Source organism: Homo sapiens, chromosome 11 (genome assembly GCF_000001405.40).
Source record: "Homo sapiens chromosome 11, GRCh38.p14 Primary Assembly".
NCBI classification, from domain to species: domain Eukaryota; kingdom Metazoa; phylum Chordata; class Mammalia; order Primates; family Hominidae; genus Homo; species Homo sapiens.
Window position 1 is genome coordinate 118,883,739 of NC_000011.10, and position 20,845 is coordinate 118,904,583.

General features: G+C 56.6%; 2 protein-coding genes and 1 long non-coding RNA gene across 11 annotated transcripts in view, besides 3 other annotated features; 1 reads left to right on the forward strand and 2 right to left on the reverse strand.

The window, feature by feature from the left end:
• The first annotated feature begins 153 nt into the window (after positions 1-153).
• On the forward strand, positions 154-14,049 carry CXCR5 (C-X-C motif chemokine receptor 5). 2 transcript variants are annotated; one of them, NM_001716.5, is made up of 2 exons: positions 154-254; positions 9,858-14,049. In NM_001716.5, exons 1-2 carry the CDS (start codon positions 204-206, stop codon positions 10,923-10,925), a joined length of 1,119 nt encoding a protein of 372 aa, NP_001707.1. In that variant the 5' UTR covers positions 154-203; the 3' UTR covers positions 10,926-14,049. The 2 variants fall into 2 exon arrangements, with proteins under 2 accessions (NP_001707.1, NP_116743.1); NM_032966.2 differs by lacking the exon at positions 154-254 and having other exon boundaries at positions 9,654-12,533.
• On the reverse strand, positions 2,389-4,365 carry LOC124902767 (uncharacterized). The gene is made up of 2 exons (XR_007062913.1): positions 3,613-4,365; positions 2,389-3,516 (listed from the first exon to the last, which is right to left on the reverse strand). It is a non-coding gene; the product is annotated as an uncharacterized LOC124902767 (long non-coding RNA).
• Positions 4,401-5,018: an enhancer, noted in NCBI's record as "H3K27ac-H3K4me1 hESC enhancer chr11:118758848-118759465 (GRCh37/hg19 assembly coordinates)". NCBI's record gives its function as "activates a minimal SCP1, AML or CMV promoter by ChIP-STARR-seq in naive H9 embryonic stem cells {active_cell/tissue: H9 hESC(naive)}" and the evidence as "EXISTENCE:reporter gene assay evidence [ECO:0000049][PMID:30033119]".
• Positions 12,026-12,784: an enhancer, noted in NCBI's record as "H3K27ac-H3K4me1 hESC enhancer chr11:118766473-118767231 (GRCh37/hg19 assembly coordinates)". NCBI's record gives its function as "activates a minimal SCP1, AML or CMV promoter by ChIP-STARR-seq in naive H9 embryonic stem cells {active_cell/tissue: H9 hESC(naive)}" and the evidence as "EXISTENCE:reporter gene assay evidence [ECO:0000049][PMID:30033119]".
• The window catches only part of BCL9L (BCL9 like), a 29,791-nt gene continuing 21,343 nt past the window's right edge, over positions 12,398-20,845 (reverse strand). For 7 of the 8 annotated variants that reach the window (NM_001437465.1, XM_006718815.4, NM_001378214.1 and 4 more), the window contains 5 exons: positions 19,498-19,714; positions 19,252-19,336; positions 16,881-19,170; positions 16,179-16,460; positions 12,398-15,770 (listed from right to left, as the gene is read on the reverse strand). In NM_001437465.1, the coding sequence (NP_001424394.1) occupies positions 14,677-15,770; positions 16,179-16,460; positions 16,881-19,170; positions 19,252-19,336; positions 19,498-19,714 (3,968 nt within the window). In that variant the 3' untranslated portion in view covers positions 12,398-14,676. The remainder of the gene's footprint in view (positions 15,771-16,178; positions 16,461-16,880; positions 19,171-19,251; positions 19,337-19,497; positions 19,715-20,845) is intronic. The other variant, NR_165445.1, reaches the window with a different exon arrangement.
• Positions 14,404-14,911: an enhancer, noted in NCBI's record as "H3K27ac-H3K4me1 hESC enhancer chr11:118768851-118769358 (GRCh37/hg19 assembly coordinates)". NCBI's record gives its function as "activates a minimal SCP1, AML or CMV promoter by ChIP-STARR-seq in primed H9 embryonic stem cells {active_cell/tissue: H9 hESC(primed)}" and the evidence as "EXISTENCE:reporter gene assay evidence [ECO:0000049][PMID:30033119]".

A 20,845-nucleotide genomic window follows, 5' to 3' on the forward strand; every position in this document is an offset into this window, starting at 1 on the left:
AAAAAAACAGAAAAGACCCAGTGGAAAAAAAAAAAAAAGTGATGAGTTGTGAGGCAGGTCGCGGCCCTACTGCCTCAGGAGACGATGCGCAGCTCATTTGCTTAAATTTGCAGCTGACGGCTGCCACCTCTCTAGAGGCACCTGGCGGGGAGCCTCTCAACATAAGACAGTGACCAGTCTGGTGACTCACAGCCGGCACAGCCATGAACTACCCGCTAACGCTGGAAATGGACCTCGAGAACCTGGAGGACCTGGTGAGTAGACACGGGTAGCTTCCTGTCGCCGAGGCCCTGTCTGGAATTCTAACATCCTTTGCCAGAGTCCGAGGGAGAGGGGACAGTGTGGGAATCCTCTCCCACTGTGGATCTGTAAAATCTAGACAGGTCAGTCAGCTCCCGCCCTTTAAGAGTTTATTTTCCATTCTGTGGAAGAAGCAGATAAGGAGAGCTGCTGTCCTTAGGAGACATCCTTTAGAGGAAGCTGGAAGACACGGGTTCAGGCCCTGCATCCTCCTCTGAGTTGCTATGTGACTGGGAACAGGATACTTCACCTCTCCATTCTTTCTCTCCTTTTCTCTTAGGGTCGGAATATGGAACTAGACAGGAAAGTACTTTGGAGGTTTTCTTACCGTAAGGAGGCTGGCATTGCTAATCAGTCAATGAATGCATAGCTGTTCGTCTCTGGCCATATGATTATGTCATCAGGGCACTACATTCTGTGTTGGGTGGAGAAGTTGAGGACCTGGTCTTTGCCCTCAAATAGCTTCTGCTCTGGCCAGAGAAAAAAATCACTCACTGGAAGCTATTAGGCAACAATTATGTGCTAAACTGAGGGAATGTGAGACCAGATGGTAGCAAGGAAGAGGATCCCAGCAGGCTGGAGTCAGGGAGCAGGGTGAGAAAACTGTTAATCTGACAAATGTCTTGGAACCTGTTGTAGAATCTCTAGAGATAAGGTATTCTTGGAAAGGTTTCTTGGGTGGGCTAAGAAAATGGTCTCCAGCACTACGCTGCCACCACTCAAGTCTCTCCAGTGAAGCGTAGTGGTGCAGTTGACTTGGTTGTCACTGGGCTCCCAGAAGATGTGTGTGTGTGTGGAGCAGCTCAACCAGAGAAACACAGGGTTCCTTGTGAGCCGACGGCAGAGGCTGGTTGTAAGGGTTTCTTGGAAACTTCTTCACTGTCTTTTCTCCCCCTGGAGAGAGGACTTGTTTCGGGGCTGCACTCTGGGTTAGATCATGAAGGAGCCAAACCCTGGCTCCTACCAACTCTCCTGTCCCAAACTTACCCTAAGATATTGTCTGACTCCCTCCTGCTCCCCCGGCTGGAGTGGACTTTGTGGAGTGGACTTTGTAGTTCCACCAACCATGTTCCCAGACTTGCTCAGAGAAGCCCGCCTCTCGCTTGCCCAGATCCCAAGGCTGGGAAGTGTAAGTAGGACACGGGGAGAAAGTGGGCAGAAGGGCTGACTACCCAAAGCCTGGCCCCTCGGATCCAAACCGTAGGTGGAATCAGAGCCGGACCATTCATCTAACCAGGACCTGCTACATAATTTGTGGGACCCAATGCAAAATGAAAACATGGGGCCCCTTGTTGAAAAATTATTATAAATAAGAAGGCAACAGCAGAGCACTAAACCTCGTGGGGGGTCCTGCTGGGTGCAGGCCCCCGTGTGACTGCCCCAGTTGCAAGCCCATGAAGCTGCCCTGAGTCTAATCACAGAGTCTGGGCAATACCCCAAATCAGACTAAAAACCCGCGGCCCCAAAGGGGCAATGTGCTCCCACCCTGGCCCCCGGTCACAGCCGCTGGCCTCGCCTGATTAGGTTACTGGGCGTCTTCCTCTGCCTGCAGCTTCAAACTGACCACGAGCCCTGACCCAGTTGGACATCTTAGTAACCAACTGGAGACCCGGCGGGTCCCAGCTTCTGAGAAACCTTAAGAGTTTCCCCTAACTGCACGCCTCACCTCACTGAGTGACCTACTAGGGACAGGTGGGGGCAGGGGGCAGGGGCAGCAGGGCATGTCCCAAGAAAACCTACATCTGGGGGAAAGGGACCCAGTGACTTTCTTCATGTCACACCTCAAATGAGTGATCCTCAGCCAGGCATTCCAATATCTGGATCCCTCACTCAGGGTCTAGCCAGGAGCCCAGGAGTCCTAGGACCATCTGGGCTCTGGAGCTCTTCAGCCAGCCACCAGTGCCTCGTTCCCCCTTCACGAATCTCCTACACACCCTGTCTCCAGGGCCAATGTCCCCTCAGAACACAGACCCTCTCCTCCGCCCCCACCCACTCACTGAAGGGCCGTGAGCAGCTTGGCAGACTGTCCCTCAGTGTCACAGTACAAAAACCTCGGGCGTAGTGGTACAGGCAGGAGAATCTTGCATGTAGCAGCTTCTCAATAAGTATTTATTGATTTGTGATGCAGTAAAGGTCTTAGCTCACCATTTTCCTCTGGAGTTAGTCTGGGTCCTTCTATTCCTTCTGCTTCCTATTCTCCTCCTTGTCCTTGCCCATACCAGGTATTGGTTCACATTCCTTGAACGCTGGGTTTTACACTCTCATGTTGAGCTAAGAACTGGGGCCTTTTGGTTACACAAACTTGCCAGAAAAAAAAAAAAAAAAGGAACTGGGGGCTCCTGGCCATAAGCCAGGTTCGTCATTCTGTATTCCATTTGTCCTCTTGAACTCGAAGACCAACTCGAGCCGCTTAAAATGTCCACTTCTTTAAGGCAGGGGCTGGGGGGTGGGGACGGGCTGCTAATTCTCATCAATGAAAGGTCCAAATAGAACAAAAATTAGATGGCTAAGAACCAGGAACAAGAAGATTCCAGGTCCTGGGGTGGGTATGCCAGGGACCCATCCTGCTGGAAAGGCCGATCCTGGCAGACCTAGAGCAGACCCTGTCTATGCGACCCTCGATCTGAGAGCCTCCTTCCAACAGAACCAGGGCCTGGGCTGGGGCATCCACAGAGGCTGGTCATAAACTATACCTCCAGCCCCACCCTGCACACCAGCCGGGAGGGGAAGCTGCTATAGCGCACGGTGAAGCTGGTCCAAGCCCCAGAGCCTGGCTTTCTATGACCCCTCTCCATAGACAATTACCACACATCATGACTTCAGTGTGACCAGAGCATCACAGGCGACACAGCCCGTCCACGTGGACCATCTCATTTCATCATGTAGGTGTGAAGAAGAGGAACCAAAACCAGCTCAGGCTGTTTCTGGGCTTCATCTAGGGGAAAGGGAGGTTCTCCACCCGCCCCCCGCAACCAGGTCAAAAGTCCCAGAGGAACCCCAGCAGAGGAGGCCCAACTGGGGTGTAGTTGGAAGGGTCAGAGATGAGGGAGAGCCCCAAGGCCAAGCTGAGGATGGGTCAGGGTCAAAGTGAATATGGGTTCGGGCATACAAACTGCAGAGTCTCCGTCAGGAACTCTTGCTTTCCCCAGGGACGCAGGCTGCAGCTGATCCCACTCCTCTAGCAGAACGGCAGAAACAGTGGCCGCATATGTGGACCTAAGAATCAGGACACAAGAATGAGCATTCTTTCAAGAGTGGTGGGGAAAAATATTTCCAACCCAGGAGATGGTTTCAAGAGGCTGCCACACACACCTGGGAGGCCTGTCTGCCTGCATCTTGGACTGTGTGACTCTGTATCCAAAGGGCAAAGAGACGCTGGGGTGCCAGGTGGGGCTCCCTTAAGCCTAAAGACTTGCTGCAGAGGCTTGGAGTAGCTTAAACTCTCCCCCTAACACCACATCCAGCACAGTACCTGCTTCTGATGGCCAAAACCCGTGGGTAGAGATGAAAGAGGAGTCTCACAGACTTGTCCCTGAAGGCTGTGGGTGCGGCAAGGGAGATGTGACAAATGGCAAGCCAGAGTCTCAGATGGTCTTTAGGGGCTGTGGGCCTCCTGAAGAAAGACGGGGTAAGGGGTACAGACCTACACCCTCACCCACAGCCCAGTCTCATTTCTCCAGACCCCTGCACCCCTTAAGCCACTGAAGGCTGGAATGACAGATACCCTGGCCAGCCCCACTCACAGCTCCTGACTCTCGGCTGGGAATATCCACACAGGGACATAAAAGGATATGGAGCTTGTGTGCTCCCCCCTGGCCAGAGCAATGACTGGCGTCTGTGTGCAGACACCTCCCGCGGCCAGCATGACTCAGGCCTTGGAGTCCTGGGGTTCGGCCTGAGTAAGCCACGCATGCAGGCAGCCCTGCCCCCTCCTTGGGGCTGAGAAGCAAGGTCAGGCTGGGGCATTCACTGGCGGCAGAATGGACTAGAAATACCAAGTCTCCGGCTACTGAGCTAGACGGAGATCATGCTGAGAACCAGCTCAGCCCCAGGCAGGGCAGGACAGACAGAGAATCTGGGAGTGGGAGCGAGGGGCATTTGAAGGCAGAGTCCAGCCTCCTTCTTCCCAGGGCAGGAATCTCTTCCCACACACTTGGGCTCAAACGTTCCTCTCCTTCCTAAAGGTACCATCTCATTGCTGGACAGTTCTGTCTGTTAGAAAGTTCTCCCTCCTTTGACTGAAACGCTACCCCCTCAGCTTCTGCCCAGTCCTTCTAGACTGCCCCCTGGAAGCTCATAGCAAGAGTCCATTGCTGCCCTCTTGCCCATGGAGCTTCTTTCCAAGCCTTGACATCAGCCCTCAGGGACTCAAGTCTTCTCTGTCCCAGACACTACACCCCTAGTACCTGAAAATTTCCTCTATGGGCAGGGTTTTCCAAGCCCCTCAACAAAGTGGTCATCCTTGTCCAGACCAACCAAACTGGGCTGGTGTCAGCTGCCCACTTACAAGCCTCTGTTCACCTAGATGAAGGTAACAGTGGCCCTTCGGCTGGCCACGTCACTCCCGTGACTCATCTTAAGCTTGTAGGTGACAAACTCCCAAGTCTTTCTGACGAACTGTTGTTACCTGGTCCTCCCTAACTTATCCCTGGACGGGTAATGTTTTAAACCTGAGTCCTGGCTTGTATATTTTTCCCCATGCAATTTCATCTGGTTAGGTTGGACCCATGGTTCCAGCTTGTAAAGAACTCTGTGTTGCCTGAGAGTGCCCCCAAAGCTGGGCTGAGAGTGCTGAAGAGGAGGGGACCCAGGATAGATCCCTGAGGCATGCTAGGCACCCCTGCCCAATGCACCTGCTGACATAGAATCCCCATTAGCAAATGTGAGCTGAGCTCCATGCTGGCCAGTGCTGGGCAGTGGGGCAGCCTCATTATTTGGAGAAGTCAGGTGGGGCTTGGAGACTTAATTATCCAGGGAGGAGCCTGCATCCTACAGTGGAGGGAAGGAGAAGAGTAACATTTTGGGCCCTACCACAGGCCAAGCACTTTGCATCTCCTTACACCCCCCACCTCCCGCTAAGCCCCTCAATACTGGACACTGTTACAGCCCCTGCTCCTCCCCAGTGCTCACAGCAATTTTCTAACTAGATTCTAGCTCCACTCTCAGCCTCATTCTGGTCATTGTGTTTCTTGCCTTCTTTGGGGCATGTGACCCTGGCCCATGACCAGGCTGTTGTCTGCTGGGTGCCTGTCTAGGCCACATGCTGGTGTGGCCCATCTTGGCACCTGTGTCTATGCAAGGTGCATGTTGCTGTCAAGAGTGTGTGTGTGCACGAGGGCCTCAGGTTTCAGAAGCTTTTCATGTCAAAGAATGGGCACACCGCTCACGCAAATGGTCTGCCCTGTGCTCCCTCTGGGCATGGGATTGGAGGGCTTCCTTCAGCAGCACATGCCCCATGGTATTCAGGATTCCTGATTCCTCAATTTCCCATGAGGCCGGAGCCAACCTTGCTTTATTGCCTCTCTCCATAGTTTGGGGGAGATTGGGGGAGCTAGAACTCCTATGTGTGGGAAGTGGCTTTAACATGTGCCACTCCCGAACCCCCAAAACGTCTGTTTGACACCTCCTGCTGAGATGTGCTGTCAATTCCCAGCACCCCTCAAACCAGCTTCCTCCCATCTTACCCTCTCTGAACGCTGCCAGACAAATACCTCTTGGCAAGGAGGAAGACACAGGCCCCTCCCAAGCCCCCTCTAAATCTGGTTCTCAGGAGATGGGAGCCCTAGGGAGATGTCCCACTGCATTGACTTTAGATGAGCAATAACTCAGTCAGTCTGGAATCTTTGAAGGGCAAGAACTTGTGTGGAGGACAAGCCCAGAAACCCAGGGCTTTCTGGGTCAGACAGGCTGGCTGGACCTAAGCCCTCACCCAGGCACGGCCAAGGTAGGTGGAGTCCAGCCCTGCTGACCGCCCCAGGCCCTGCTTCTCTCCTCCCTGTCTGAACGGCTTGGCTCTGCGTGAAGACTGCTGAATTCCAGTATTAGTCAAGTGGGTGTGCTCAGTGACGGTATTGGAAATAGCTCCCAATAGAGGGAGAGCACTCAAGATAGGATCTAGGATCAAGGCCATCAAGGTTATTGGGAGAAGGCAGAATGCAGAAGATTACGGAGTGAGTCCCTGCAGAGGCACTTGTCTAAGTCTCAGGTTATAAGGGCTCCTGGCCTTCTCTGGGAAACTGCTTTCAGAGCAGGTCAGCACACGTCTGTCCTACGTAAAACACGTGGCCTTGGGAGGGGGACACAGAAGGCCTGCTTCTGAGACCTTGCCATCTGGTTAGAAAGTGTCATCCCAACCCTGGGTGCTGTAATAAATGCACACGCATCATAAGGAGAAGAGAGAATTCCAAGAGGGGAGCCGGGAAGGATGTCTGAAGATGGGATTGAATTCGGCTTTGGAGGAAGGGTGGAAATTAGGCAAATTTGGAAAGAAAGACCTGCTAGACAGAAGGAAAAGGCCAAGCAGAGGTTTGGAGACAGGAATGTGTTGGGGTGTTGGGGAAAGGCCGGGGGGTGGTCTAGAGCAATAATTTATTAATAGAAGACAAAGTTTGAAAGGTCAGAGGAATATACATTTGGGAAGAACATAAAGGCTGTGTTGGGAGGTTAGACGTCTTCCCACAGGTCCATGGTTTTCAAATGAAAGTAGAACCATTTTCTTCAATGAAAGCTTATGTGTGAAGCACTGCACAAGTCAAAAGTGGAGAGCTCTAGTTTAAAGTCAAGGAGGGGAGCCTGGAGCCCCAACACCACTCCCCACTCCAGGGGAACCCTGTGACACACACACAGTCATGGGTACTCTAAAGAAAGTCCTTGGAGCTGGGCACTGTTGTCACATACCTGCAGTCCTAGCTACCCAGAAGGCTGGGGCAGGAGGAGGATCACTTGGGCCCAGGAGGTCAAGGCTGTAGTGTGCTATGGTCACACGTATTAATAGCCACTGCACTCCAGCCTGGGCAACATAGCAAGACACTATCTATCAAAAAACAAAAACAAAGGCGTGTGTTTGGGGGAGAAATTCCATGGAATCCTACTGCATGGGATGTTCTGCAATGAGTTCTAAACTTTATTTTTTAAAAAAATGTTTTGTAGAGATGGGGTCTCGCTATGTCATGCAGGCTGGTCTTGAACTCCTGGCTTCAAGCAATCCTCCCACCTAAGCCTCCCAAAGTGCTGGGAGCCACTGTGCCCAGGAGTTCTGAAATTTAGCGATGTGTGAATGGCACTAAGTTTGGCTTACTCCAATCATTTTCTTTTTTTTTGAGATTGGGTCTTGGTCTGTTACCCAGGCTGGAGCGTAGCAGCATAATCATAGTTCACTGCAGTCCCAAATTCCCTGGCTCAAGTGATCCTCCCGCCTTGTCTTCCCAAAGTGCTGGGATTACAGGCCTGAGCCACCATGCCCAGACTCCAATCAATCTTCTATTGATGAACATGATCACAAATATGACTTTTTCTTATAGCTGACTTTGCTATTAAATGTGAAATTGAGGCCAGGTATGGTAGCTCATGCCTGTAATCCCACCACTTTGGGAGGCCGAGGCGGGGGGATCACTTGAGGTCAGGAGTTTGAGACCAGCCTGGCCAACATGGTGAAACCTTGTCTCTACTAAAAATACAAAAAAATTACCTAGGTGTGGTGGCAGATGCCTGGAATCCCAACTACTTGGGAGGCTGAGGCAGGAGAATTGCTTGAACCCAGGAGGCGGAGGTTGCAGTGAGCCGAGATCGTGCCACTGCACTCCAGCCTGGGCAACAAGAGCAAAACTCCCCCTCAAAAAAAAAAAAAAAAAAAAAGTGAAGTTGAAAAAATAAGATAAAGACAAAAAGCAGAAGAAAACCACTGCTTACAGGTGATGGGGAACCAGTAAAGGACTTTAAACAGAACATTGATGCGATGGGATTTGTGTTTTAGAAAACTTACCCTGTCCTCTGTGCAGGAGGTGGACAGGAGTAGAGAAGCTGGTGGGGATGGGACCCATGGAGAGATGGTCTCCTGAGCATTAGAGTAAAGAGAAGGAAGACCAGACTGAGGCAATGGCAGAGGGATGCTGCGGGAAGGGTTGGCAGATGGCTCTACCCTTGCACTGATGTATCTCCCACACCTCCTTCTCACAGACCCTCATTCCCCCAGAGCCAGAAGGAAAGACCCAGGTTGGAGAATGGGTCTGCTCAGCATTAGGAGTGAGTGTGTGACCCACAACTGTGGCTCCTGAGAGGCAAGAAAGCCCTGTGGCACCCAGTGTGACCATCCCCTCCTTGTGGGGGTGCCTTGCTCTCCTGAAATGGGGGCACCATTAAGCCACCCGGAGCCTGGTGGACAGAGTACCCCATCCCATCCTCTGCCTCCCTGGGTTCATCATTTATAGTATTGCCATTTTGAATCCACATAGGTTGGTTATAATTGGTTTTGAATTGCCTGGGGAGGGGCTTGGGTAGGGAGGGTGGGAAGAACAGAGCTGGGAGGTGAGGAGGAACAGGTGCAGGGGACAGCTGTGAGTGAAAGGTGTGAAAACAGGCACATGTCTTCCTTTGTGGTTAGCTGGGTAAACAACCTGAGTGCTGGGGTGATGGGGGGGGGGTGATGGGGAGAGGAAGAGGAGGATGGGGAGGAGGGAACTTCCGGAGACATCACGGGCACACCCCCTGCACTTGGAGCAGGCTCTCTCCTTCTCTCCTGCCAGTCTCCCCGTGTCGCCCTCACTTTCTCCTGCCTCTCTCTGCCTCTGGGCTTTCTGCTTCTGAGTGCTCCTAGCTGCAGGGAGGTTGCCAGTGATGGGAAGTAGCAGGGAGCCTGCATCTGCTGCCCCTAGAAGGAAGCCCAGGCAGGGTTGTTCAGTGGGAGGTACTGGCTTTGGAAGTAGATAAACGTCGGTTCACACAAACCTGATCTTTAGCAAGACACATCTGTGAAATAGGAATAATATTACATACCTTGAGCGGGTTGTGCATATTGAACCAGATGGGAGGCTATTACTGCCATTTCAGTGATAACAGAGACAGTCAGGAACAGGAAGACCCATGAGGAGGGAGCCCACAGGCCAAGTCAGCACCCGCCCGCCCCTAGTCCCCAGCACAATGCTAAGTTGCAGTGCCCGACTGTTCTGCTCAGAACTGGAACAGATGGGTCCTTGTACCAAGCAGGTCCATTCCCCAAATTGAAGTCCTGTGACTCCAGCCGCCAAGGCTGCAGGCTTCCGTACATGAGGACCCAAAAACACAAGCTGACTTATGGGGTCCAGCCCTCCAGCACTTACAAAGCTCAGCCACCCGCACGCCTCCCTTCATCAGCACCACCACTCTAAGGAATGCGGTCCCTTTGACAGGCGAAAAACTGAAGTTGGAAAAGACAAAGTGATTTGTTCAAAATTGAAATTTGAAACTTGACATTTGGTCAGTGGGCCCTATGTAGGAAAAAACCTCCAAGAGAGCTAGGGTTCCTCTCAGAGAGGAAAGACAGGTCCTTAGGTCCTCACCCTCCCGTCTCCTTGCCCTTGCAGTTCTGGGAACTGGACAGATTGGACAACTATAACGACACCTCCCTGGTGGAAAATCATCTCTGCCCTGCCACAGAGGGGCCCCTCATGGCCTCCTTCAAGGCCGTGTTCGTGCCCGTGGCCTACAGCCTCATCTTCCTCCTGGGCGTGATCGGCAACGTCCTGGTGCTGGTGATCCTGGAGCGGCACCGGCAGACACGCAGTTCCACGGAGACCTTCCTGTTCCACCTGGCCGTGGCCGACCTCCTGCTGGTCTTCATCTTGCCCTTTGCCGTGGCCGAGGGCTCTGTGGGCTGGGTCCTGGGGACCTTCCTCTGCAAAACTGTGATTGCCCTGCACAAAGTCAACTTCTACTGCAGCAGCCTGCTCCTGGCCTGCATCGCCGTGGACCGCTACCTGGCCATTGTCCACGCCGTCCATGCCTACCGCCACCGCCGCCTCCTCTCCATCCACATCACCTGTGGGACCATCTGGCTGGTGGGCTTCCTCCTTGCCTTGCCAGAGATTCTCTTCGCCAAAGTCAGCCAAGGCCATCACAACAACTCCCTGCCACGTTGCACCTTCTCCCAAGAGAACCAAGCAGAAACGCATGCCTGGTTCACCTCCCGATTCCTCTACCATGTGGCGGGATTCCTGCTGCCCATGCTGGTGATGGGCTGGTGCTACGTGGGGGTAGTGCACAGGTTGCGCCAGGCCCAGCGGCGCCCTCAGCGGCAGAAGGCAGTCAGGGTGGCCATCCTGGTGACAAGCATCTTCTTCCTCTGCTGGTCACCCTACCACATCGTCATCTTCCTGGACACCCTGGCGAGGCTGAAGGCCGTGGACAATACCTGCAAGCTGAATGGCTCTCTCCCCGTGGCCATCACCATGTGTGAGTTCCTGGGCCTGGCCCACTGCTGCCTCAACCCCATGCTCTACACTTTCGCCGGCGTGAAGTTCCGCAGTGACCTGTCGCGGCTCCTGACGAAGCTGGGCTGTACCGGCCCTGCCTCCCTGTGCCAGCTCTTCCCTAGCTGGCGCAGGAGCAGTCTCTCTGAGTCAGAGAATGCCACCTCTCTCACCACGTTCTAGGTCCCAGTGTCCCCTTTTATTGCTGCTTTTCCTTGGGGCAGGCAGTGATGCTGGATGCTCCTTCCAACAGGAGCTGGGATCCTAAGGGCTCACCGTGGCTAAGAGTGTCCTAGGAGTATCCTCATTTGGGGTAGCTAGAGGAACCAACCCCCATTTCTAGAACATCCCTGCCAGCTCTTCTGCCGGCCCTGGGGCTAGGCTGGAGCCCAGGGAGCGGAAAGCAGCTCAAAGGCACAGTGAAGGCTGTCCTTACCCATCTGCACCCCCCTGGGCTGAGAGAACCTCACGCACCTCCCATCCTAATCATCCAATGCTCAAGAAACAACTTCTACTTCTGCCCTTGCCAACGGAGAGCGCCTGCCCCTCCCAGAACACACTCCATCAGCTTAGGGGCTGCTGACCTCCACAGCTTCCCCTCTCTCCTCCTGCCCACCTGTCAAACAAAGCCAGAAGCTGAGCACCAGGGGATGAGTGGAGGTTAAGGCTGAGGAAAGGCCAGCTGGCAGCAGAGTGTGGCCTTCGGACAACTCAGTCCCTAAAAACACAGACATTCTGCCAGGCCCCCAAGCCTGCAGTCATCTTGACCAAGCAGGAAGCTCAGACTGGTTGAGTTCAGGTAGCTGCCCCTGGCTCTGACCGAAACAGCGCTGGGTCCACCCCATGTCACCGGATCCTGGGTGGTCTGCAGGCAGGGCTGACTCTAGGTGCCCTTGGAGGCCAGCCAGTGACCTGAGGAAGCGTGAAGGCCGAGAAGCAAGAAAGAAACCCGACAGAGGGAAGAAAAGAGCTTTCTTCCCGAACCCCAAGGAGGGAGATGGATCAATCAAACCCGGCGGTCCCCTCCGCCAGGCGAGATGGGGTGGGGTGGAGAACTCCTAGGGTGGCTGGGTCCAGGGGATGGGAGGTTGTGGGCATTGATGGGGAAGGAGGCTGGCTTGTCCCCTCCTCACTCCCTTCCCATAAGCTATAGACCCGAGGAAACTCAGAGTCGGAACGGAGAAAGGTGGACTGGAAGGGGCCCGTGGGAGTCATCTCAACCATCCCCTCCGTGGCATCACCTTAGGCAGGGAAGTGTAAGAAACACACTGAGGCAGGGAAGTCCCCAGGCCCCAGGAAGCCGTGCCCTGCCCCCGTGAGGATGTCACTCAGATGGAACCGCAGGAAGCTGCTCCGTGCTTGTTTGCTCACCTGGGGTGTGGGAGGCCCGTCCGGCAGTTCTGGGTGCTCCCTACCACCTCCCCAGCCTTTGATCAGGTGGGGAGTCAGGGACCCCTGCCCTTGTCCCACTCAAGCCAAGCAGCCAAGCTCCTTGGGAGGCCCCACTGGGGAAATAACAGCTGTGGCTCACGTGAGAGTGTCTTCACGGCAGGACAACGAGGAAGCCCTAAGACGTCCCTTTTTTCTCTGAGTATCTCCTCGCAAGCTGGGTAATCGATGGGGGAGTCTGAAGCAGATGCAAAGAGGCAAGAGGCTGGATTTTGAATTTTCTTTTTAATAAAAAGGCACCTATAAAACAGGTCAATACAGTACAGGCAGCACAGAGACCCCCGGAACAAGCCTAAAAATTGTTTCAAAATAAAAACCAAGAAGATGTCTTCACATATTGTATTTATATATTTATATTTATATATATATTTATATAATGGTACAAAATGGCTGGGGGTGTGGCCATGGATGGAGGGAAGAGTAGGCTGGCCTGTGGCGTGGGTGGGAGGAGAGGGGACGGAGAGGGCACTCGGCCCGCTGCAATCTGACCCCTCTCTCCTCAGGGCAGGAAACACAGAGTCAGACAGTTTGGGGGGGTCTTGGGCCAGGGGTGGAGGGCTCAAGGGCACAGGGCCCAGGCTGAGGCAGGGCGGGCAAAGCGCCTGGCAGGATGAAGGGCAAGTGGCCCCCCAAACACAGAGGCCCTGGCCATGGACCCTGGGAGGTGACCGGGGTGAGTCAGGGGCCTGTTGTCAGCCCCAGAGGAAGCGCTGGACCTGGCCGATGGTGGGCCGAGAGGACAGCACCAGGCTGGGAGAAGTGGGGCGAGTTCCCTTTGTATTACAGCTGCCAGTGCAAGACCAGGCCCTCCAGGCCAGGAAGGCTAGGGACGGGTCCTGGTAGAAGACACCCTGTCTAGAATGGCCCTTGGTCCTGGAGGTGGGGCGCAAAAGGCCTCAGCCAGGGAACTGCCCTGCCACCTCCCGAGGCAGGAAAGGAAGTGAGAAAAGGAGAAGTTTTTTTACTCCTGGGGCCAAAGTAGGGGGACAAACACCCAGTCGTATATGGCTTCAGCTCTGACCAAAGGCGGATAGGGAGCTCTCCTGGGTAGGAGCAGGGAGCCAAGGGGGAGGCAGTGGCTGTGCCTGGGTGGGCACAGACAGATCTGGTACATGGCCCTGAGCCCTGGGCAGAGGGACAACCTTGCCGGTGAGTGGGCAGGCAGAGAGGAGGCGGCAGGATGCTGTTTCCCCGATTCCATCCTCAGGGAGTGGAGACTGGAGGGGAGGTGCACTGACTCAGATGAACTGTTCTCCCCCTTCTTTGATAAGAAGTAGGTGGCAGCAGCCTCTGGAAAAGTCAGGGCCCTGGAGGTTACCTGGCCCAGGGCTACTACAGCCACAGGCCCCAGTGGCACCATGCCACCCCTTCCATGGCTCCACTCAAGGGGGCCACACAGCCACCGCCTCTTCCTCCTTTCCTTCATCCCAAACTGGGACAAAAGACTTCAAGTTCTGGCTAAGATGTAGCAGCAGCGGATGCCCGGGCATCCAAAGTGGAAAGCCAGGGCCCCGTGTCACCGGTGTGGGCAAACACACATGCACGTGCACACATGTTCTCCCTGAATCACTCAGCAGCAGACAGGCTGCCGCCCTGGGGGTCTCAGCCCTGCTAGGGCTCACCAGGTGGAAGCCTAGGTGGTCTGACCTCAGTTTAGGAGTGGGTCATTTACGTCATCTTACCATTTGGGGACGAGACAGGAATGGTATCCCTTAGGGACCCAGAGACACTGCAAACAGTGGGTGGCCATGTAGGGCTGCATGTCCCTGGGTCCAGGGGAATGGAGGGAGCAATAACTTGAAGAAGGGGGGAAGGGTTTCTTTTATCCTTTTTTTTTTGTGTGACTTCTATCAAAACACAGAAATACAGCACACGCACAAACCAGCACAAAAGCGCAGCGCTCTATTTACAGCTCCGGCTGGCACCTGCCCACCTGGCCAGCCGCCTGCAGGGAGGGGTGGGAGAGGGGTCAGCCACATCAGCAGGGAAAGGATACGAAGCAGGTAAAGACAGAAGGAAAATGGGCGGGTGCGGAGAAACCAAGAGGGAGGTGGAGCTCCAGCAATGCGGACACGAGGAGACAGGAGCAGAAGGGGCTGGGGGAGACCTGACCTGTCCTTCCTCTCTCCCCCCAGATTCCCATCCAGGACTCCAAAAGCATAGCTGAAGGGGGTGTGGCGGGTGCAGGGATGCACGGAAAGAGGTAAAATAGAGAGGCTCCATAGGAATTGGGAGGAGTGGGGGAGGGGCAGTCCTGGTGGCCGAAATGGAACCAACCCCAATGCAAAATCCCCCACCCCACACTGCCACTTCCCCCTAAGCTGCCAGCACATCTGGTTTCCACAAATGCCACTCCCTACACAAGCCCCCTCCCACCCCCTCCACCCCACCCCGCGACCCAGGCCATCCCAACATTGAGGGGAAGAACTTTGTTAAGGTTATCGTATTTGCAACATTGCCCCGGCTCCAGCCCTGGCAGCGACTTCTAGAAGGGCAGGTTGGCCATGCCGCCTGGTGCCGGGAGGTAGCCCATCTGGCTGTCCAGGGACACACTGCGCTGCCGAAGGGGGTGGGACACCATGAGGTTCTGCTGGGGCGGGGGGCCCATGAGGGAGCCCTGCGGGGAGAGCATGTGGGGCGGCTGGCTGTAGACCTCGCCCCCCACGCCCCGCTGCTTCATCAGCATGAAATTCTGCTGGGTCATGAGGCCTTGTGGAGGGGACATGACCCCCTGGTGCAGGCCATGGGGCACCATCCCCTGCTGTGGGGGCACGCCTGTCCTGCCCAGCAAGGACATCTGTCCAGGGTGGCACATGGACATGTTGAGCCCCCGCTGGACGCCCTGCTGGCCTGGGAGGTTGGGAGGCCGAGAGGGAGTCTGCTCCGCCATCATGTTCTGCAGGTTCATGAGATGCAGATTAGGGGGCTGAGCCTTGGGGGGCTGGTTCTCGCTCTTGGGGAAGTACTGGAGGGTGCTGCTTGGCTTCTCAGAGGGGATGATCCTCGACAAGTCGAACTCGGGGATCCCCGTTGGGGTGGGCCGGATCACCTCGCTCAGCTCGGGGTCGTTCAGCACTGATGCCACCCCAGGGAGCACACCCGGTGGGTATGCGTCGCCCATGCGCCCAGCCATGGCTTTGCCCATCAGGTGCTGCTGGGGAGGCATGGGGCCTGGCGGCTGGTTGGGCAGGTCCTCGGGAGGCAGGGCCATGCCTGACGGGTAGTGCTGCTGCAGGCCAGGCCCCCCGCCCCCACCCCCAGTGGGGGCCATGGCACCATGGGGCTGCTGCAGCCGAGGGGGGAAGGGCATCATCTGGGAGGAGCTGGGCACTGGGCCACAGGGGGCATTCAGGGAGTCGGGGCCCCCTGGGGCCATCATCATGGAGTTTTGAGGGGGCCCCCCTGTCCCCTGTGCGTTGGGATGCAGTGGAATGTTGGAGCCCAGAGGGGTGGGGGAGGGCAGCATGGCGGGCGGGGGCTCATGGGACAGGGGCTGCTGGCCTGGCAGGTTCATGCCCATAGGGCTCTGGGCAGCGGCTGAGTTCAGGTGCATCTGGCTGGGCTGGCTGTTGCTGATCCCTGTAGGGAATAGAAGACAGGGGGTCAGGCACGGTGTGCCCAGCTCGGGGAGGGTGCAGGGCTCAGGCCTTCCCCACTCCCAAGCCAGGGGGTGCCAGAGGTCAAAGTCTTCACCACTGGCTTCCCCTGGCTGGGAGGGAAGGGACTGGAGGCATTGATGCTAGAAGCCAAGAGACCAAGTTCTGGCCCAGTTCGCCAGACACACCACCAGGTGTTGGAAAGACCACTCGAGTGCTCTGGGCTGGGTTTCCCTAATGACTCCAGCGAGTGGGAACAGCATCCCGGAGCCTCCACCCCCACACCCAGGGCCTTCAGAGGCACAAAAAAGCCAGCACAACCACAGCTGTGCTCCCCGCTCCCAGTGCCCACACCAGCTGGCCTCCCTGGGGCCCTGGCCTGTCCTCGCACCTGGCCCGGAGCCCTGCGGTGGTGGTGGGGGGGGCAGCAGGGGCCGGTCGGGCAGCAGCTCGTCGTCTGAGGTGGCGATGGTCTTGATGGCATTGTGGTAGAGCGGGGTGGAGCTGGGCATGGCGTACTTGGACATCTGGGTCATCATCAGTGACAGGGGGTTCTGGGAAGGTGTGGGGTCTGGGGAGGAAGTGAATGGTAGGCTGGGGTTCATGAGGCCGCTGGGAGGGTTGGCGGGAGGTGCTGAGGAGCTGCTCCGGGGGCCGCTAGGCGGGAGGGTACCTACAGAAACGGGGAGACAAAGAGAGCAGGGGTGACTGGGGAGGGGCAGATGAGTTTGGCTGTGGATATGGGGAGGTTTAGGAAGCGGTCAGTTCCCCAAATCACCTGGTCCTTCAGACACACCCACAGGCCCCCACTATCTCCAGAGCCCACCAGTCTTCAAGCAATTCCTGCAGCCTCAGGGCCCCAGGCAAGGGGAAGATCCCAGGCCCCAAGTACGATCACTCAAAATGCCTGGGAGACTCACGTGGTACCCCCTGAGAAAGCCCACAAATGTCATCATCTGCCCCATAAGCAGAGCCATCCACCTCTGGGCCCGTGGTACACAGGCCCTTACTCACTCACTGCCCAGCCCCAGCATGGACACACTGCTCAGCGCCTGCCTGCCTGCCTGCCTGCCTGCCTGCGCAATTGACTCACCCTGTTCCATGTTGCTCAGGGTGGTGGAAGAGTTCATGTTGAGAGGCGGCTGCTTGTTCTGGGAGACCCCCGGGCTGGGCATGGCCGTCTTAGGTGAGGCAACCCAGCCTGGAGAAGGCACCGCCATGGAAGGAGACTTGAGCCTGCTGGGCGAGCCAGTGGGTGAACGGACACTGAGGGAGGAGCCGAGGACCTGGGGCGACTTGAGAGGTCCTGGCGGGTTGGCAGAAGGCAAGGGCACCATCTGTGAGGGAGTCTGGGGTGACTTGAGGTTGGCAGAGGGCGAGGTGACCAGGGGTGAGTGCACCTGGCTAAGGGTGGGCGACTTCAAGTGCCCCATGCCCGGTGAGCCCATCTGATTAATACTGATGGTGAGGTCCGAAGGCCGCCTGCCTAGCCCCCGGTTTGGGGCTGAATGCACGGTCCCAGGAGGATTGGACGCAGGGGGCAGAGGCATGTGGCTGAGCCGGGTGGTGCCCACGTTGCTCATGGGCATTGAGCTCTGATCAGGGCTGAACATGTCTTGGGTATTGCCCATGTCCTGGGACATGGCTTGGTAGGGTCCCTGGCCTCCAGAGAATCCCTGCTGGCCCTGGTTGGGAAACTGTGAAGGCATCAGCATCTTCTGCGGGCCGCCCATCACGCCACTGCTGTTCTGGGCCCGAACCCGGGCCATCTCCTCAGGACTGAGGCCCTGGGGCCCCATCAAGTCCCCAGGGCCCCGCATCTTCTGCGACATCAGCATCTGCTGCTGCGGGGTCATCTGCACGTTCAGGTTCATGTTCATGTTCATGTTGACATTCATGTTCATGTTGAGGTTGCCTGGCCCCATGGGTGGGTCCACCTCCCTCAGCCCAGACTGCCCCATGGGAGGGCTCAGGAGGCCCCGGCCTCCACCAAACTCCATGCCCATGGGAGTGCCCGCCAGGCCCTCACCACCAGCCATCTGCCCGGGAAACATGGCAGGATCCATCTGTCGGTGCGCCTGCATCATCCGCTCCATCTCCATGCTCTGTCCCATGCCACTGCCTGCCATGCCCAGGGGGCGCTGCATGCCCATCGACCGCTTCTCCAGCAGCTGGTGCCGCAGCAGCTCCTCACGGACCCGGGGAGTCATGAATCGCTCCGCCTCACCCTGCCCACCTGGGTAGGGCATGGTGTTCTGGGCAAAATTGCTGGGTCCCCCCATAGGGGGCAAGTCTTCGGTCCAGCCCATGCCTGGTCTCACGGGCCTCTGCATGGCATTCATGGGCACCTCCATGGGCATACTCTGCATGCCCCCAAACCCAGGTACCCGTTGTATCTGGTTGCCTGGGAAACGGGGCCCAGGAAAGGGAGGTCCGCCCCGGAGCTGCATGGGATCTTGAACATCCATGGGCCCCCGCAGCTGCGCACCCATTCCAGGTGGCCACTGATCCCCAGGCTTGCTGTGGTAAGGAGGCGGGGGCCCCCTCACCATCATGCCCCCCATGCCCATCATGTCCTGCAGAGGACGGCTCCCATGCAGCCCAATCTGTTCCTCTTTCCGCCGTTTCTCTTCGTAGTACTCCTCCTGCAGCTTGCGCCAGGCCACCTGCTCAGGCGTGAGGCTGTCCTGGCCCAGCCTCTGTATCATCATGTTCATCTGCTGCCCCATGTCCCCACCCGGGGGGTGCCCAGGCACTTCATGCTCCAGCGGGGGGCCCCCTAGGCTCTGTGTCTGTGAAATCATGGACTGCAAGGGTTCCTCATATTTCTTCAGCCCGCTGGGAGGGGCCGTGGGTGGCTGCTGGGGGGGAGGGGGGGCTTGTGCTGGTGGGCCCCCCTCACCCGCTCCTCCTGGGGGCCCCTTGAGGAAGGGCTCAGTCTCTCCGCTGCGGAGCAGCAGTCGCTCAATGTCTCGCAGCGTCTGGAGGGACCGTTCCCGATGCTCCAGCTGCTCTTTGGACAAGCCCTCTGAGCCCACCAGGCTGCGCTGCCCATTTCCAGGGGCGGCTGCCTCCCCCAGCAGGGCAGGGCCGGGGGCACTGCTGGGGTCTCCTCCAGGAGGCAGAGGGTTGTTGGCGGTGGTAGCCGTCGGGGTGTTAGGGTGGGTGCCCCCAGTCCCACCACCTGTGCTGGCAGCTCCCACCGAGTTGGGGGCCAGGTCCTGACTGCTGTCCTCAGGAGGCCCCTCTGGGGGCAGAGCAGGCGGGGCACTGCCAGGGGCCGGGGGTGGCGGCGGCGGCAGTGGAGGTGGCTGGGACTGCGGGGTGCCTGCTGACGGCGTGCTCAGGGGTAGCGGTTCTGGGGTGGGGGGCACTTTAGGGGCCTGCAGAAGGACAAAGAGAGCATGAGACAGGTAAGGGGACGTTCCACCCAGTCCTGCTGCTCACAGAGGCGCCACGCTCACCTGGTCAAGCTTGGCCCGGGGCACGTTCTGCTGGTGGTAGGCGAGGATGGAGTCGGCCCGGCCCTGCAGCACTGCCTCTGCAGCCCTGCACAGAGTGGGGGCACCGACAGCTCAGAGAGGTGAGCAGGAGGGAGCCCCACCCTCACCCACCCCACCCTGCCCCTGCACGGGGCTCCCTCGGAACCCCAGGCTGAGAGGTGCTGGGCAGAGAGAGAGAGAGACTTGGCCTGCCCACCAGGCACTTACGTGTTGGCCAGGTGGGTGGTGAAGACATATACGAACTGCGAGGGAGGCTTTCCGGGGACGCCCCCGCCCCCGCCCCCGCCCCCAGGGGCATCAGGCCGAAGGCCAGGAGGAGGGCCGTGCGGGGCGCCTGGCACGCTGCTCTCGCTGAGGGGCAGTTGGGTGGTTTGGCCGGGACCCAGCTGTGGGGCCGCCATGGCTGGGTCTGCTACATTACAATCTGCAGGAGAGAGGACAGGGAAAGGGGCTAAGTGGTCTAGATACAAGAAGGACCAGCTGATGCCCCCTCCCACTGATGCTCACAGCCTTACAGCTCGTGCCCACAGGGACATTTGATGTCAGTATCTGGTGTTCTCACCAGGCTGGTTTCCACGATGGCAAGAGTGGTGACCATGTGGAGAGCAGGGACAGAGAAAATGTGTCCTCTCCACAGGCTCCCATGGGCCTGGCATTCTGCTGGGGACTTAACAGGTGTGATTTCATCTCATCAACACACCCTGGGAGGAACGTGTCACACACTCCACTTAACAAAGGAGGAAATAAGTTCCTCACCCACAGTTACACAGCCAGTTAGTGCAGAGCCAGAACTGAACCCAGGGCCGGGACTCTGAAGCTCCGCTCTGAGCTGCTGCCCCTCTCACTGGGTAAGTGTATGTGCACACAGTCTAGTGACCCAGTTAGGGAGAAGGCAGAGAGGGTACACAAGCTGATGATCCAAATGATGGATGGTTTTTCACTCTAGCCCCACCACTAACTGACTTTGTGATTTTATGAACCAGACATCCCTCTAAGCCTCGGTTTCTTCATCTATAAAATGTAAAATACTAACCTCCTCCTTGCACAGGGGGCAGGCCAAAGAAATATATTTTTTAACAGTAAGTTTAAATCAATGTCACAGACTAAAAAAATCCATTTGAAAAACAGAGAGCCGGGAGCGGTGTCTCACGCCTGTAATCCCAGCAGTTTGGGCGGTAGAGGCGGGCGGATCACCTGAGGTCATGAGTTCAAGACCAGCCTGGCCAACATGGTGAAACCCCGTCTCTACTAAAAATACAAAAATTAACTGGGCATGGTGGCGCATGGCTGTAATCCCGCTACTCAGGAGGCTGAGACATGAGAATTGCTTGAACTTAGGAGGTGGAAGTTGCAGTGAGCCGAGATCACACCATTGCACTCTAGCCAGGGCGACAGAGCGAGACTGTCTCAAAAAAATAAATAAATAAATAAAAATAAGAAAGAAAAAACAGTTAGAAAAAGCTGACATACTGGAAACACTCTCAAGACAGACCAGCTGCCCTCAGCACCAAGGGAAGTTTTGTTCCATGGTTAGACACTTGACTGTAAGTCTTAG